This window comes from Homo sapiens, chromosome 4 (assembly GCF_000001405.40).
Source record: "Homo sapiens chromosome 4, GRCh38.p14 Primary Assembly".
Classification (NCBI taxonomy): domain Eukaryota; kingdom Metazoa; phylum Chordata; class Mammalia; order Primates; family Hominidae; genus Homo; species Homo sapiens.
The window spans coordinates 113,979,703-113,998,398 of record NC_000004.12 but is presented as its reverse complement, the minus strand read 5'-3'; the positions used below and the strand labels follow the sequence as shown (position 1 = coordinate 113,998,398).

The following is an 18,696-nucleotide window of genomic DNA, read 5'->3' as shown; positions in this document are numbered from 1 at the left end:
CACTTAGGCAATGATTTGCTATATACTTCGAGAAAGTCACATAACAATTCCTAGCCTGCCTTTGCTTATCCTGAAGCAGATACATGGAAATAGTTACCAGCTGTTTCCAGGTTTAATGAGTCTGGGTGGGGTCTTCCTACATTACATAAGTACACTCCTGCTGCTAGGCCTGGCTGGGCCTGTACGTAGCAAAAAGGGACAAGCTCGATCACCAGAGAGCATCAGGCCCAAGCCAGAAACCACACAGGATGGCGCCAGGCAGCTCAGGTGAGTGTGCAAAGATCGAGGCTGAGCATCCTGGGAGACAGACTCTCTTTCAGTCACTGCAGAATCATGAACAGAGAGGGCAAATAAGGGCAAGGGGCAAAAAGAAAAAGGCAGGGCACACAATCAGCACATTTTGAGCACCTGCTGTAAAGTGCAAATAGCAATAGTACCTTAGAGAGAAATTATGAGAATTGAATGACTTGACTTTTACCCATTAAAACCTTAGCAAATTCCTCAAATAAGAAGTACTAAAAAATTGTTGGTTTTTGAGGAGTGGCTTGGAAGCCACACTGACTGGGTTCAAATCCCTATTCCAATACATTAGCTGTGTAAATAACTTCCCTCTGGCTGAGATCCCTTAATTATAAAATGGAGGTAAAGATATTACCTATTCATAGGGCTGATGCAAGGATTAAATGTGTTAATACATACATAACACAAAGAAAACAGTCCCTGGCACCAATAAGCCATTCAATACTTGTTAGAGGTACAATGAGCACATCACATCCTGCCAGGTACTGTGAATGATGCTTTTACAACTGCATCTCATTCCCTATGCCCAATTAGTGTTCTCTGGGGGGAAAAAGTCTATATGGTAATTTGAACTCTCTTAAAGCAAGATATTACGAAGACTGAATAGTGTTTCCAACCCAAATAAATATGATATACAATATTTTTAAATGGAGAGTATTGCACAACTTACTATTACTAATCTTGGAGTATCCCAGTAGAAACATGTCCATTGAATTCACTTCTTTTCCACAAATATTTACTAAATATCCACCATGTGGCAGATGTGGGTTGAAACTCTATATATCATATTAAAGGAATCTCTTTCAAAAAAGGATCATTTTATTATTTTACAAAGATAAAGATCAGAACAAAGTTTCTTCCCAGTTCAGTATGTTATTACTTCCATTCCCAGAAGCCTTTTCTCTGGATGGGATTTTTCATTTGTCTTACAAGTTCTTCTTTTTGCATCTTCTTTCAAAGGAGTTTTGCATCTACTTTCAAAGAAACCATTCCACTCTATTTTCTCCTCACTCTGGTCCCTGGAATCAGTTCTTATTGGTATTCCCCTTCTCACCTCAGGAGGTTCCTCCTTTAGGATGAGCCTCCACCGATGCTGACCCTTTGCTGTCAGGTAGATGTCTGTGTCGTAACCTGGGCACAGCCAGAGCCAAACTTCCCACTCAGCAGGAGGACGGGTACTGAATAACAACCCCACCCAAGCTGGGCAGCGTAAAAAACCACCAGTTTATATGGTGATTCTGTGAGTAAACAGGGCAATTCTTCTACCCTGGGCCAACTTGCTGAATCTCTCTGATCACCTAGTGTGACTCAGCTGGGGTGGTGGTCTGGGGTGACTTCATTCATAGCCATTAGCAGGCTGGCTAGGCCTAATGAGCCTCATCTCTGAGACAAGGGACAACTCATCCATGTCTCATGTTGTCTCTCATCCTCCCATAGGCTAGCCCTGGTTTCTACCCACAGTTGTCTCCAGATTCTGAAAAACAAAAACAGAAATGCCAAATCTCAAAGTACAAGCACTTTTTAAACCTCTACTTGCAAGTTTACTCATGTCCCATCAGCCAAAATGAGACAAATGGTCAAGCCCAGATTCAAGAAGTGGAAAAATAAATGCCATCTCCTGACAGGAGGAGTTTTGCAAAGCAGCTGCACACAGAGATGGGAAGAATTTATAACCAGTTTGCACAGGAGACAAAGCCAAAAAAAAAAAAGGATAAGATGTTACAAATCTTGAAGGGAAAATGAAATTTTTGATATTTCAAAAAGCATTTATGTGGTTATAATGGAAAAATCTGCACTTAGTTGAATTTCCTTATACTTATGATGGCACAGTATCTTGATGTTTTAAATTACATATGGAGCAAAGTTAGGCACAACTTCTTTTCATTACTTAGAAACTCTTTTAGTTATCCTCCTTCTCTTCTCCCTCCTCCTCTTCTTCTTCTTCCTCTTTTCCCTCCTCCTCTTCTCTTTCTTCCTCTTTTCCCTCCTCCTCTTCTTCTTCCTCTTTTCCCTTCTCCTCCTCTTCCCCACTCCTCATTCTCTTCTTTCTTAGTATCCATAGTTGATACAGTTTTAGAAGAAGCAATTTCAGAGTAAACTTAAAACTTAACAGCTCATGTTAGTTTTATAGGTCAGTAATATTAACATGGATCCATGATACATTCTTAGCATTTTAGGGTCAGAAGTTCTAGTTCTATTGCATTATTTCATATAAGCATAAGCAGGTAAAAAATTTATGTGTAAGCAATTTACACTAAAACTATAAGAAAATGATTTTAAAAATCAGAATGTGGCCAGGTGTGGTGGCTTGCACCTGTAATCCCAGTGCTTCAGGAGGCCAAGTTGGGAGGGTCACTTGAGCCCAGGATTTCCAGGTTTCAGTGAGCTATGATTGTGCCATTGCTTTCCAGCCTGAGTGACAGGATGAGACCCTGTCTCTAAAAAACGAAAACAAATCAGAATGCCAATTTGTTATTTGGTAATGGATATGTCTTTTCAGTAGCCAGACAGATTGCACTTGCTATTTGATATGGTTTGGCTGTGTCCCCACACAAATCTCACCTTGAATTATAATCCCCATAATCCCCACGTGTCTAGGGAGAGAGCCTGATGGGAGGTGATTAGATCATGGGAGCGGTTTCCCCATGCTGTTCTCGTGATAGTGAGTGAGTTCTCATGGGATCTGATGGTTTAATCAGGGGCTCTTTCCCCTTCACTCTTCTCTCTCTTGCCGCCATGTGAAGAAGGTCCTTGCTTCTCCTTTGCATTCCACCATGATTGTAAGTTTCCTGAGGCCTCCCCAGCCATGTGAAACTGTGAGTCAATTAAACCTCTTTCCTTTATAAATTACCCAGTCTTGGGTATTTCTTTATAGCAGCGTGAGAACGGACTAATACACTATCGAAGGTAACTGCTTTTTATTTTCCTTGTACTATGAATGCTAACAAAAGGTCAATTTATATGAAATAAATCAAGACAAATAGATGTGATGATTCTTAGGAGATATTTCACTAGGCATAGATAGAAGCTTAGAGTAGCAAGGCTCCAAAATGAGGAGAAAAACAAATCTGTGTGTTCTCTGTATTAAATTTAGCTATATCCTTTTGGTATGAGATTACCACATGCATGTAAGCATGAATTACATCACAGCCTATTTTACATTGATTACATTTTAGCCTTTCTTCTTTTTTTCTTAAGATGAAGTTTAGCTCTTGTTGCTCAGGCTGGAGTGCAATGGCGTGATCTCGGCTCACTGCAACCTCTGCTTCCCAGGTTCAAGCGATTCTCCTGCCTCAGCCTCCTGAATAGCTGGGATTACAGGCATGTGCCACCACACCCGGCTAATTTTGTATTTTTAGTAGAGACAGGGTTTCTCCATGTTGGTCAGGCTGGTCTCGAACTCCCGACCTCAGGTGATCCACCCACCTCGGCCTTCCAAAGTGCTGCGATTACAGGTGTGAGCCACGGCGCCCAGCCTTAGCCGTTCTTTAGTTCTTACAAAACCTGTGAGAGTGAAACTTCAAAATCATTAAGTAGCAAGGACGACCCAGCTGTGATTGAGTAGTAGCATTAAATCAAGGAATATGCAGCAGCATGGAAACCAAAGTAAAGGAAATAGGATTGTTTACCTAAAGTTGAGGTGCAATTGCTCCCACATTATGTTAGGACCCTGTTTTAGACTCTCATATAACTTTGTACATCACCTTCACAGCACTCATCAGAATTGTATCTAATTACTTAATATCCATTCCCCCAGTAAACTGTGATCTCCATGAAGCATGGGCCATGTTTGTCTTATGTCCTGCTGTATTTATCTCCAATGACTGACTCATGGTGGACCTTAAATGGAAATAATAAAATGAAGAGCAAGGTAGGAGGAAGAAAAGAACAAAGACAGCAGCATATCTCAGAAACTGATTGAGAGAGTTTGGGGAGGGTGTGGCTGAGTTGAGTGAATGCATAGCAGAAAGGCCTGCCTGCATAAGTTAATAAAGGAAATATCATCCACTGGTCTGATAGGAATGAAAGTAGAGGAAAGGCATGAGCAAAGATTTTCCATTTTGAGAGATTAGGAGGCCCAAAGTGAAACTGAGCCTAAGGGTGGTTAAAGTGGAGCTAAGTAGGAGGTTAAGCAACTAAAGAGGTTAATCAATTAAGGATCCAGCAACAGGACTTTAGACTTGGGCAAGAAGGACACTTGCCCCATGTCCCACCCTATAGAGGGGCTACTTTCTGTCCCTCCTCCAGTCCTGTTTCTCCCCAGAAGGCAAAGAGCACAGAGTAAACATGCCGCCTTCTAGATCACATTTTTAATATCTGAGACTCCAATATTTTATACACAGTTCCCTTTTCCAGGTCTGTCCCCCTGAGAGGGACCACACAGCTATTGTCTGCTCCCTGGATCAAGAAGAGAACAAGAGGGGACTGTCTGGGGCAGGGATGGTGGGGTGGTAGGAAAGTTTGGACATGTGGTCTAGGTTATGTTATGCCTTTGGATCCAAAGGCCTCAGGAGATGCAGAGCAGGGACAGAAAGAGAAAGAAGTGAGCATGGGCTGTTGCCCTACCACCGGAACCACCAACTCATGATGTGGAACTCCAGCAAGCCCAGGTATTTGAATCTTGAACCAGGCCTCCAGATCATTCTGAAGGGAAATATACCGTCCCTTTCTTCTAAATATACCATCTAATTCAAACTAGAATTTGAACTTGGTCTTCAACAACCCTTTTATTTTTCAATTAAGGAAATAAGTGATAGCTTTACAAAATGTGAAGGTTTCTGTTAACAAAAAAAGGTATGTAAATGTAGGTGAATACATATATGTCATTTTACCATGAGACTATGATGTGTTAGTCTTTGAAAAGATCAATTTCTCAGTTGGCTTCTGTTTGAAATCTCTCTGACTTCATCAGTGTAACTGGAGTCCAACTGGCTTCTGCCCTAGAAATCCTGCACTTTCCTTTATTAAGGAGAGAGAAAGGAATATAAAAGGAAATCAAAGAATATAATTTTAAGGCTTGAATTCAGTAACTCTTTATATTTACTTGAGGTCACTGAAGTTCAGAAAAGTTAAGTAAATTGCCGTATATCTCAAAGACATAAAACAGAGAGCTGGGCCATGAAACCACATCAGATTTAGAATTCTCAGGTTTCCCTTTTCTCTGTGTCCTGTGAAACAAACTTCACCCATCCAGTGAATTTTATTATTTTTTCCTTACGTTTGTATCATCCCCTATTCTGTTTAACACTGTCTCTGCCAATTATTCAAAATTACCAATTTGAAACTATATATATCTCAAGTAGAAATAAATATGTATGTCTTATATAGTTAACATATATTTAATATATGTTATAGTTCTGATATACAAAATATCTTTTTCAGTTTCCATATGTATTACATTATAAGCATATTTTAGGTTTGTTTATTCAAAATGATCACTTCTAATGGTCATAGCATCACATCAAATTAATTCATTTCCTATTATTTAATATTAAGGTTACTTCTTTTTTGCCATCTTAATGTTTACCAAATATTAAGGTTATTTCTATATTTTCTATTATAGATGGTTTAATCATGACCACATTCATGAATATACCCTTGAATTCTGCTGAATCATTTTCTTGAGGTAAATGTCAAAGGATGTTATTACTAAGCTAATGTATAGAGATGTTTGTATTATTTGTGATTATTGCTATGTTATTTTTAAAAGGACTGTATCAAACCAATGTTCTCAGTAAATAGTTGGTTTCACTCCAATATTACCAGTATTACATATCATATACCATTATTTCTACTAACTTACTAGATATAAGTATATGCCATAAATTTGCTTATTTTATATTTCTTTAATTATAAGATACATATTTTTACTTTTTTATTCATTTCTATTTGCATTAATTGTTTGCTCAAGCTCTTTACATATTTATTGTGGTTAAGATATTTTTCTTATAAATTTAAATGAATTTTTTATGAAATACATATTAAACTCTTTGTTAATTTCCTGGAAATATTTTTCCAGTTTATTTTCCTTTTTAGGTTTAGTTTTTAAATTAATTTTCATACAACTAAAAACTTTATATCTAATTGTTACACTGAACAAGCAAAACCAGTTATTTGAGCATCTTTGTTTTTATTTCTCAATGTCACACTAAATTCTGTGGGCCTGACTTCTCTGACCTCTGAGACTTCTGGAGTCACTCTCAACCAACAAATGATCTCATGGTTGCTGAACATCACAAAACCTGATCTCAATTTAGAATTCGGATGTCCAAAAAGATATCATTATAAAAACTGTAGAATTTAGTTAAAGTAAATATTTTATTCTTTCCCAGGTCAGTACTACTTCAGTGTGGAAAACTAGAGTATGTCTACCTTTCTCTGCCTAGTATTGCTACTCCTCCTTCCCTAGCTTGACAACCTCATGAGGAGCCAGCCAGCTTCTGTAACTGCCTCTCTTCCTCTGGTTCATCAGCAGCCAGTCCTGAGGCTTTCCTAGTATTTCCTAGCTTGTTAACTTGAACTTCTCCTCCTCCAGGATCAATGTGCAGACAGAGACAAAAGTTCTTATATGACCAATATGGTGCACTCTGGGGCTGGTAGGTGTACAAAGGTGATCTTTTGAATACAGGCTCCCCACCAACCTCTGAGCATCTCCTATCTACAGTTCCCTTGAAATGGGACAAGGTATCTCCAAGCATATTCTGTGGAGTCAACACTTTAGAGTGGAGAACTACCCTTGATTCTCTTTGTAGAGGTCTGTTCAAGATTGCAAGAAGCCCTCCTGCACAGGACCGAAGGCAACCCCAGGCCAGCTTTTTTCACATGTGGCCCACACCTGGTTTCCAGGGAACACTCAAGTATCCTTCACCCCGACAAACTCGTGGAGAGCTACCCAGCTTCTGTAACCTCCTCCCTTCCTGTGCTTCAGCAGCAGCCAGTCCTGAGGCTTTCCTAGGCAGAAGCCAGATGCCACTTGAATTTCATGGGTCAGGTCAGCACCTTCCATCTTGGACTATGTAGGCAGGTGTAGGTGTACTCAGGGCACATTAACTTTTAAAAAATGTCTCTCACAAATCCTCTGTGATGTGACCCTTTTATTACCTTGATATGAATAGGAATTTTCAGAGTTGTCCAACTGGTTTTTAATAATCTTTGAAAATTGGCACCTTGTTCTGGCACACTTCTTTGGAAAATCACAGCGTTGAATCTTGGCACCTCAGTTAAGACTTTTGATTTAATAGTCTATTTAATGTATTTTATAATCAATCATGTGCTATTGAAATTTCTGTATCATTTAAAAACTGAAAATAGAACAGTTTACCCACATATATTTCAATTAAATTTTCTGTTGGGTTTCTTTAATTTGATATTTTTTCATTTAGCTTTCCAATTTCAACTAGATATGTTTTTCTTTTGGCATGTGCTATAAGATGCGGATCAATTTTTTTAGGATAAGGTCTCTGGGAATAGATAACTAATGCTTTTTTCTTATATGTGAATTCACAGGCATTAACAAAGATACAGTTCCAAAGTGTCAAAGTATTAATAAGTACAAATGAGCTTGGAAAGAAAACAGGGCTTTACCCTGAAATCTACACAATTATGCAACACATATCAACACATTTATTCAAATGTTGTTTATTACTCAGAATGCTTACCCTTTATTTCATTTTGAAAAGTTTATGTTCACATATTATTTTCATATAGCATGAGATTTATTTTTTGTCTCTCCTTTCTTTCATTAACCAGTATTTATTATTGGTGTATAATATGTTCTACTTATCAGCTTGAGGAGATTTTGGGCTGAGATGATGGGGTTTTCTAGATACACAATCATGTCATCTGCAAACAGGGACAATTTGACTCCCTCTTTTCCTAATTGAATACACTTTATTTCCTTTTCCTGCCTAATTGCCCTGGCCAGAACTTCCAACACTAGGTTGAATAGGAGTGGTGAGAGAGGGCATCCCTGTCTTGTGCCTGTTTTCAAAGGGAATGCTTCCAGTTTTTGCCCATTCAGTATGATATTGGCTGTGGGTTTGTCACAGATAGCTCTTATTATTTTGAGATACGTCCCATCAATACATAATTTATTGAGAGTTTTTAGCATGAAGGGTTGTTGAATTTTGTCAAAGGCCTTTTCTGCATCTATTGAGATAATCATGTGGTCTTTGTCTTTGGTTCTGTTTATATGCTGGATTACATTTATTGATTTGCATATATTGAACCAGCCTTGCATCCCAGGGATGAAGCCCACTTGATCATGATGGATAAGCTTTTTGATGTGCTGCTGGATTCGGTTTGCCAGTATTTTATTGAGGATTTTTGCATCAATGTTCATCAAGGATATTGGTCTAAAATTCTCTTTTTTGGTTGTGTCTCTGCCCGGCTTTGGTATCAGGATGATGCTGGCCTCATAAAATGAGTTAGGGAGGATTCCCTCTTTTTCTATTGATTGGAATAGTTTCAGAAGGAATGGTACCAGCTCCTCTTTGTACCTCTGGTAAAATTCGGCTGTGAATCCATCTGGTCCTGGACTTTTTTTGGTTGGTAAGCTATTGATTATTGCCTCAATTTCAGAGCCTGTTATTGGTCTATTCAGAGATTCAACTTCTTCCTGGTTTAGTCTTGGGAGGATGTATGTGTCGAAGAATTTATCCATTTCTTCTAGATTTTCTAGTTTATTTGTGTAGAGGTGTTTGTAGTATTCTCTGATGGTAGTTTGTATTTCTGTGGGATCGGTGGTGATATCCCCTTTATCATTTTTTATTGTGTCTATTTGATTCTTCTCTTTTTTCTTCTTTATTAGTCTTGCTAGTGGTCTATCAATTTTGTTGATCTTTTCAAAAAACCAGCTCCTGGATTCATTAATTTTTTGAAGGGTTTTTTGTGTCTCTATTTCCTTCATTTCTGCTCTGATCTTAGTTATTTCTTGCCTTCTGCTAGCTTTTGGATGTGTTTGCTCTTGCTTTTCTAGTTCTTTTAATTGTGATGTTGGGGTGTCAATTTTAGATCTTTCCTTTGTGGAAGGATCCTTTAGATCTTTCTCTTGTGGGCATTCAGTGCTATAAATTTCCCTCTACATACTGCTTTGAATGTGTCCCAGAGATCCGGGTATGTTGTGTCTTTGTTCTCGTTGGTTTCAAAGAACATCTTTATTTCTGCCTTCCTTTCATTATTTACCCAGTAGTCATTCAGGAGCAGGTTGTTCAGTTTCCATGTAGTTGAGTGGTTTTGAGTGAGTTTCTTAATCCTGAGTTCTAGTTTGATTGCACTGTGGTCTGAGAGACAGTTTGTTATAATTTCTGTTCTTTTACATTTGCTGAGGAGTGCTTTACTTCCAACTATGTGGTCAATTTTGGAGTAGGTGTGGTGTGGTGCTGAAAAGAATGTATGTTTTGTTGATTTGGGGTGGAGAGTTCTGTAGATGTCTATTAGGTCTGCTTGGTGCAGAGCTGAGTTCAATTCCTGGGTATCCTTGTTAACTTTCTGTCTCGTTGATCTGTCTAATGTTGACAGTGGGGTGTGAAAGTCTCCCATTATTATTGTGTGGGAGTCTAAGTCTCTTTGTAGGTCACTAAGGACTTGCTTTATGAATCTGGGTGCTCCTGTATTGGGTGCATATATATTTAGGATAGTTAGCTCTTCTTGTTGAATTGATCCCTTTACCATTATGTAATGGCCTTCTTTGTCTCTTTTGGTCTTTGTTGGTTTAAAGTCTGTTTTATCAGAGACTAGGATTGCAACCCCTGCCTTTTTTTGTTTTCCATTTGCTTGGTAGATCTTCCTCCATCCCTTTATTTTGAGCCTATGTGTGTCTCTGCACGTGAGATGGGTTTCCTGAATACAGCACACTGATGGGTCTTGACTCTTTATCCAATTTGCCAGTCTGTGTCTTTTAATTGGAGCATTTAGCCCATTTACATTTAAAGTTAATATTGTTATGTGTGAATTTGATCCTGTCATTATGATGTTAGCTGGTTATTTTGCTCATTAGTTGATGCAGTTTCTTCCTAGCCTTGATGGTCTTTACAATTTGGCATGTATTTGCAGTGGCTGGTACTGGTTGTTCCTTTCCATGTTTAGTGCTTCCTTCAGGAGCTCTTGTAGGGCAGGCCTGGTGGTGACAAAATCTCTCAGCATTTGCTTGTCTGTAAAGTATTTTATTTCTTCTTCACTTATGAAGCTTAGTTTTACTGCTTCCTGGATGCCACATCAGGCACTTACTCTTATGGATTAGCCTGACCCTGGATTCCACATCTGTCTAGACCCATTGAAACTAGACAGCAGCCCACTTTAATCTCAAGAGGTTGGTGCCTCCCACCTCTGGCCCATGCCACAAGGAGAATGCCAGGAATCTTGCCTAAAGACTTCACTTTGGAGCAGCTGGATTTAGAATTTAGCTCGTTTCCTGGTCTTTTGTTTGAATGTATCTGAATTCAGCAATGCCTGCATGGACTGTTGCCTCTGGCATCCACCCACTTAGGCTTTAATGCCTCTCCCTTCTTTTCTTGATCCTGGTGACTTGGCCATATCTCAACCTTGCTGCTTCCTGCCATCTGACAGAAATTAGGTGCTCAGCCCTCAGATGTTTCGACTCTAGCTTGCCCATTTGTTTTTCAGCTGTTTCTCATATTGCATTTGGTAAATGACTCCGTCTTTACCAAGTAAGCAGTCCAATTAAAACTTTTTCATGATTTAAATTGTAAATCAGTGGTTTTCAAAACTCAACACACACAGGATCATCTGCAGCACTATCTGTAACATAAATAGTTGCAGACTATGGGTATTTTGATTTAGGTCTTGGGTCTGGGAATTTTCTTTTTTAAAAAAAGATCCTTAGGACAGACATGGTGGCTCACTCCTGTAATCCCAACACTTTGGGAAGCTGAGATGGGCAGATCACCTGAGGTCAGGAGTTTGAGACCAGCCTGCCCAACATGGTGAAACCCCGTCTCTACTAAAAATACAAAGTTAGCTGAGCATGGTGGCGGGCACCTGTAATCCCAGCTGCTGGGGAGGTTGAGGCAGGAGAATCACATGAACCCAGGAGATGGAGGCTGCAGTGAGCTGAGATTGCACCATTGCACTACAGCCTGGGCAACAAGAGTGTAACTCTGTCTCAAAAAAAAAAAAAAAAAAAAAAAAAAAAAGATCCTGAATGGATTCTAATGTCCAGATAGGTTCAGGACTTGATAGTCTAAACAGAAAATTTCTATGTAAATAATATAGAATTTTATTTACAATTTAAGCAATAGGAGTGGATTTTTAAAATGTAGAAATTTTAGGATTTTCTCATCATAAAAATTTTGTTTAAAAGTCTGCTTTTGGGTAAAGATGTTTGTTGAATGAAAGAAAGATCTTTTTGACAGTTTAAATTGTCTGAGTTTCTGATGTCAAAAACCTTGCTGCTTTTGGGTAGCTACATTTATACATGTTTGGAACTTTAATTCTCCCACATCATTCATCTTTTCTTGACAAATTATTACTGTTACTAATCAACAGAGACTTTCCAAAAAAAGGAAGCTGTATTAGTCTATTCTCATGCTGCTAATAAAGACATACCTGAGACTGGGTAATTCATATAGGAAAGAGGTTTACTGGACTCAGTTTCACGTGGCTAGGGAGGCCTCACAATCATGGCAGAAGGCGAATAAGGAGCAAAGTTATGTCTTACATGCCAGCAGGCAAGAGAGTGTATTCAGAGGAACTCCCCTTTATAAAACCATCAGAGATCATGAGCCTTATTTACTATCATGAGATAGCAGCACAGGAAAGAGCTGCCCCCATGATTCAATTACCTCCCACTGGGTCCCTCCCATGAAACATGGGAATTATGGGTGCTACAATTTAACATGAGATTTGGGTGCGGACACAGCCAAATCATATCATTCCAAACCTGGCCCCTCCCAAATCTCATGTCCTCACATTTTAAAAGCAATCATGCCTCCCAACAGCCCCCAAAAGTCTTAACTCATTTCAGCATTAACTCAAAAGTTCACAGTTCAAAGTCTCAACTGAGACAAGGCAAGTCCCTTCTGCCTATGAGCCTGTAAAATCGAAAGCAAGTTAGTTACTTCATTCAATAGGGGTACAGGCATTGGGTAAATGTAACAGTTCCAAATGGAAGAAATTGGCCAAAACAAAGAGGCTATAGGCCCCATGCCAGTCCAAATTCCAACAGGACAGTCATTCCATCTTAAAGTTCCAAAATGATCTCATTTGACTCCGTGTCTCACATCCAGAGGACGTTGATGTAAGAGGTGGGCTCCCATGGCCTTGGGCAGCTCCACCCCTGTGGCTTTGCAGGGTACAGTCCCACTCCTGGCTGCTTTCAGAGGCTGGCATCGAGTGTCTGCAGCTTTTCCAGGCACATGGTGCAAGCTCTCAGTGGATCTACCATTCTGGGGTCTGGAGGACGGTGGTCCTCTTCTTACAGATTCACTAGGCCATGCCCCAGTGGGGACTCTGTGTGGGGGCTCCAACCCCACGTTTCCCTTCCACATTGCCCTAGCAGAGGTTCTCCCTGAGGGGTCCATGCCTGCAGCATCGAGGCATTTCCATACATCCTCTGAAATCTAGGTGGAGGTTCCCAAAGCTCAATTCTTGACTTCTGTGTACCCACAGGCCCAACACCACGTGTAAGCCACCAAAGCTTGGGGCTTGCACTGTCTGTAGAACAGCCTGAGCTGTATGTTGGCCCCTTTTAGCCACAGCTGGAGCTGATACAGCTGGAACACAGGGCACCATGTCCTGAGGCTGCACACAGAAAGGGGGGCCCTGGGCCTAGCCCAGGAAACCATATTTTCCTCCTAGGCCTCCAGGCCTGTGATGGAAGGGTCTGCCACAGAGGTCTCTGACATGCCCTGGAGACATTTCCCCCATTGTCTTGGTGATTAACATTCTGCTCCTTGTTACTTGTGCAAATTTCTGCAGCAGACTTGAATTTCTCCCCAGAAAATGGGTTTTACTTTTCTATTGCATAGTTAGGCTGCAGATTTTCCAAACTTTAATGCTCTACTTCCTCTTGAATGCTTTGTGGCTTAGAAATTTCTTCCCCCAGATACTCTAAATCATCTTTCTCAAGTTCAAAGATCCACAAATCTCTAGGGTAGGGGCAAAATGCTGCCAGTGTCTTTGCATAGCAAGAGTGACCTTTACTCCATTCCCAACAAGTTTTTCATCTCCATCTGAGACCACCTCAATGAGGACTTCATTGTCTATATCACTATCAGCATTTTTGGTCAAAACCATTCAACAAGTCTCTAGGAAGTTCCAAACTTTTCCACATTTTCATGTCTTCTTCTGAGCCCTCCAAACTGTTCCAACCTCTTCCTGTTACCCAGTTCCATAGTTGCTTCCACATTTTCAGGTATCTTTACAGCAGCATCCAACTTTTCTGGTGTCAATTTACTATATTAGTCTGTTCTCATGCTACTAATAAAGACATACCTGAGACTGTGTAATTTATAAATAAAAGAGGTTTAACTGATTCACAGTTCCACATGGCTGGGGAGGCCTCACAGTCATGGTGGAAGGCCAAGGAGGAGCAAAGTCATGGCTTACATGACAGCAGGAAAGAGAGTATGTGCAGGAGAACTCCCCTTTATAAAACCATTAGATCTTGTGAGACTTATTCACAGTCATGAGAACAACACGGGACAGACCCTCCCCCATGATTCAATTATCTCCCACCAGGTCCCTCCCATGACACATGAGAATTATGGGAGCTACAATTCAAGATGAGATTTGGGTGGGCACACAGCCAAACCATATCGGAAGCAAACTCAACTTAACATTTACTAAACCAGCAAGTTAGCCATCCTACTTGGTCGTGATCAGAAAGTGGATGTTGCTTGTGATAACTTAATGGCTCAAAGCAGCCTAAGTTCCATAGCCTAGTAAAGAGTTAATAATACTTAATAAGGAGTTTATTATATGTCATGTCATATTATATCTCATGTCAAAATGATCATATTAGGGTAAACATCTGTTTTAGACTATTTGTGTATTAATTTAAACACAGTGACATTCCTTCATTTTGAGTATTTAATGTACTTATAAATGCAACCAAGCAGCAATCGGGTTTTAAATCTTTTTAATAGTCTGTAAATCTCTGGATTGGCTGTTTTCACTATTTTTAAACCTACACTTAGCTGTATCTTTTTGAAATTTGAGTATATGTTTAGCTGAAAATAAGTACCTACAGAAGAAATGGGAATGGTGTGGCAGGCATGCTGTCCTACTAGGCATACCTTCAAATATTTTTTTAGGTATATGAAATTCATAAGCTATTCAGTCCATGCATATTGGGAGGCTGTGGGAAATGTCATTTTAACGGTGAGATTTAACATCGATGTTTCAAAGAAATACTGTTTAGCTACCCACTTTACTGCTTGCTTGTGATTTTCTTAGCTTTTATGTTGACTGACAGGCTCCCCATACCCAATCCGTCACTCCACCCTCCAACCTCTGGGCATCCAGTACCCTTGGTCTGTCCCTTGAGGAACCCCGGGCACCCTGTTGTGCCTTATTCATACCATCCCTTTTTGTTAACGGCCATTCTCCCAATTTAACCTACTCATTCTTTTCTATTATCCAATTAAACAAGGTCCTATCTTGGGTCCCTTATTCTTTTGTCCCTTTTGCCCCCCTCTTAGTTGATTAAATCTAAGTTTTTAATAAATGCTCTTCTCCCATCAGGTAACAAAACCAAAGCATAGTTTTTTAACCTAAGGAATATTTTGCTGTACAGTTTTTACACACCGTGGCAATTGTGTGATTCTAGTCTTTACTCCCTCAAGTCTCTCCCTGAAAATGTCCTGGGAATTCTTTTCCTATATTTTTCATCATGTCTTACTCTAATCAAGAAAAAAAAAAACCCAATAAGAAGTCAACAGGTTCAGTACTCTCAGAGTAAAGTTACAACTCTTCAAATTTTGATGGACTGAAGCAGCTCATTTGTAACTTCTATCCCTATAAATCCATCCCAGAAATCACCTCACTAAAATAGTTTGTCATGTTATGTTCTACTCAAAGGATTTCATTCCTCCTAATGACCTCAGAATCAAGTTCCAGCTCTTCATACTTTTTCAAAGTCCCTCATATCTGGTGTCACCTGAATTTCCTAACATTGTTTCCCATAATCTTCCAATCCAAACATGTGTTCAGCAAACTGGCTTTCTCTTTTCTTTAATTTGAAATATCCTTCCTTTAACTTTCTCTCCTCCTTCCTAAATTTTTATCATACTTTAAGGCATAGCTTCACCTCACCTCCTGATTAACCCTTACTTGAATACTCAGTCCATACAGATTTCATTTCTAGGCAATTCTATTTTTCTTTCCTTTTTTTTCTGAATCAAATAACAGCTTAAATTTTTATATAACCATTCCACAACTACAGTTTATGTGTAATATAAGCATATTCAAGCTGAAATAAGCCTAAGGGCAGCTGATGCCTGAATACTAAAATGCTGATTCTAAAATCAGGAAAGATCTAGTAAGTTACAGAGGGTCTTTAACTGGACACTTCATGAGAACACTAAAACTGTTGCTTACAGCGCATGAAACCCAAACCTATAATGAGAAATGCAAAGCATATGTACTTATAATACCAGTATATAAACTATAAAGCTTAGGGTGTTCAATAGACTCTGATGTCATTCCCCGTGTCTTCCTCAGGGATGTGAAATAAGTCCTACCTACTGTGGGTAGGGCACTCAGCTGACTTTGATTTTCCTCTTTGAGTCACATCTCATTTGGTCTACTGTGGCATGGCCATTCTTGTTTCTCGGCTCTTATTACTAATTGTTAGTAGTTCTTAGTCTTTCTTAGGGTTAGTGCTGTTTAATCCAGAAATGACCTTTTAGGGCCTGAATTCAGTCCTTCTATCCTGAGCGTAGAGTGTCTGCATGCCTCATGTGGGGATTAGAATTCTAACTCTGGCAGCTGTGTTGTCTCTGTGCTATGTGGCTGGCAAAGACTTTAAAGCCCATTTGTAGGAAGAATATCTTTTGTAAACCATCAGCTTTGAAGTCAGATTTCTAAGTCTAAATTTTCTATAGAAAGCCAACGGCAAACAAAATAACATGCCCTCAGTTTAAATATCACTCCCCTGAACCACCTCACCCAGTAATTGTACCCAGTCTAAATCGTTTTTTGTTTTAAAATTTCTTTGAAAATGTTCCTTTTTTCAGAACATTTGTATAGTAAGTAATACAGTAAGTAACTATTGGAGTTGTAGGGTGATTCATTGATGAATGTATTTCTTCTTCACTCTGGTGTATATTCCAACAGAGCAGAGACTGATTTATTGCATCATTACCTTCCTGTCCTCTAGCATTGGCCCAGCTCCCCAAATACTTGTTGAGTGGAAGAATACCTCATAAGGTTGATATAGATGGAAAAGAAATAAACTGTATATAGCACTATATAAACAAACATACCCAGTCAGTCCTCTGTATTCGCAGGGTCTACATTATGGGACTCAACCAACTATACACTGGAAACATTCAAGGAAAGAAGAAAAAAAAATAACAATACAACAATAAAAATAATACAGTCCAACAACTATTTTCATAGCATTTACATTGTATTAGGTATCATAAGTAATATAGAGATGTTTTAAAGCATAGAAGATACATTAATATGTAGGTTTTATACACATAGTGCACCATTTTACATAAGGGACTTGAACATCCATGAATTTTGGTATCCCTCAGGGTTCTGAAACTAATCCCTGATAGATGCGACTGTATATGTGTGTATGTATCAGTATATAGAATACTATGGTTAGCACATGGTAAGTATTCCATACATTTTGATTGTTTTTTATTATTATTGCTTGGAACCTCAACTGAAAATGTGTCTCCTTCTTGCACAGAACATGGATACTTCTTGTGCTATGTCACAAGAAGTCACTATCTCCCCAAATAAAAGGCTAGATTGACCAGAATGTTTGCATCTTTCCCATTCAAGCACCTGGCTAGGCCCATTAAGCCTAGGGCCCTACCTCTCAATGCTTTTCAATCCCCTGACACTCAGTACTCTCATTACATATTTGGTGACTTAATTTACAGAATTGCTAAACTCACATTTCTGAACATGGCTTCTAAAACTGACTATCTCTCCCCAGCTTAGCCAGAAGGGCTGCAAGGAAGAACAGAGACCAGAAGGCCTACAGCAGCTAGCAAGGTTAACTTCATGGAGCACCATCGTGCCTTTCAAAGTTCCCATTTCACAAAGTTTTGCCTGGGAACTCAGCAGGAACTTTAGCAACAGGAGAGAATTAGAAATAAATGGCTAAATGAAACCTAGATTTATGTTTCAGTCAATTGAGAGAATCTGACATGTTATGTGCCAGCCCACAGTAGGTATTCAGTAAGTAACTGTTGAATAAATTTGGTGGTAGAAAAAAATATCTCAGTGGCTCTTGGCATTCATTGCCTCTTCTATAGAGACTATACTATACATCCCTCTGCTGCCTTTGAGCAGGACTTTAAAACTCTATGACTCTAGTAAAATCAAGAGTATTTTCACAACCAAGATAAGTTTTTACAATGGTTTTCCTCCACATGGTAAAAAAGAAAGAAGGAAAAAAAATGATGAAGCTCCCTGAATTACTGGATGGGAAACACTGGCTTCTTTAATGCAGGAATGCAGACTGGCTTCGGGGTTCTTGAAGGAGAAATGCATAACTCTTCCTCTCCAGGCTTTTGGCTGGAGACACCCTGTGGGTAAGTTAGGGGAGAGGTAAGAGGGAGCGGGCAATTCCAGTATTTTCACATAGGGAAAGGGTAACGAAGAATCAGGCTGTAAAAGCCAGCTATTGGGAGAGGAAATAAAACTTAAAAATTTGTCATCGTTACTGAAAAAAAAAAAAAAAAAGGTAGGGACAAAAGGAATAGGAAAATGATGGGGGTGGGGGGACTAGTAAAGGAAAACCTGCAAAGGAAGTTGGAAAGAGGAAAGAGTGTCATACGCATTTTGTTTTTATTCCTGCTCCTTCTCTCTCACTCCCTCCAGAAGCTAGAAAAAGTTTGCAAGCGCAACTTTAGGGATGGGAGACGGGGCTCTTCACCAACAGCCCCACGAAAAGAAGTGCCCGCTTTACCCTTCCCCATTCGCGCCGCCGTCCTTTCCCTCTAGCGGGGTGATGGGCAGGAGGCGACACTCTTGGGACGCGGTAGCCCAGGCGGATCCCCCGGAATCCCGCTGGGCTGGAGCAGCACGCAGCTCTCTCTCTGGCAAAGCCTCCTCTGCCTTGGCCATCCACCTCCCGGAAAAGAAAAAGGAAAGATCGAGCCTCTAAACAGTCCTTTTCCCCCACCCCCTCTTCCCGGGGGAGCTCAGGAAGAAAGTACCGTTCTGTGATTCACTGGAGAGAAAAGAGGGAGG

General features: G+C 39.7%; 2 long non-coding RNA genes across 2 annotated transcripts; one reads left to right on the top strand and one right to left on the bottom strand.

The window, feature by feature from the left end:
- The first annotated feature begins 196 nt into the window (after positions 1-196).
- On the top strand, positions 197-17,504 carry LOC124900762 (uncharacterized). Its single transcript, XR_007058237.1, has 3 exons — positions 197-267; positions 5,864-5,926; positions 17,435-17,504. It is a non-coding gene; the product is annotated as an uncharacterized LOC124900762 (long non-coding RNA).
- Positions 16,871-18,586, bottom strand: LOC107986305 (uncharacterized). Its single transcript, XR_001741794.2, has 2 exons — positions 18,413-18,586; positions 16,871-18,029 (listed from the first exon to the last, which is right to left on the bottom strand). It is a non-coding gene; the product is annotated as an uncharacterized LOC107986305 (long non-coding RNA).
- Between the last annotated feature and the right edge of the window lie 110 nt (positions 18,587-18,696).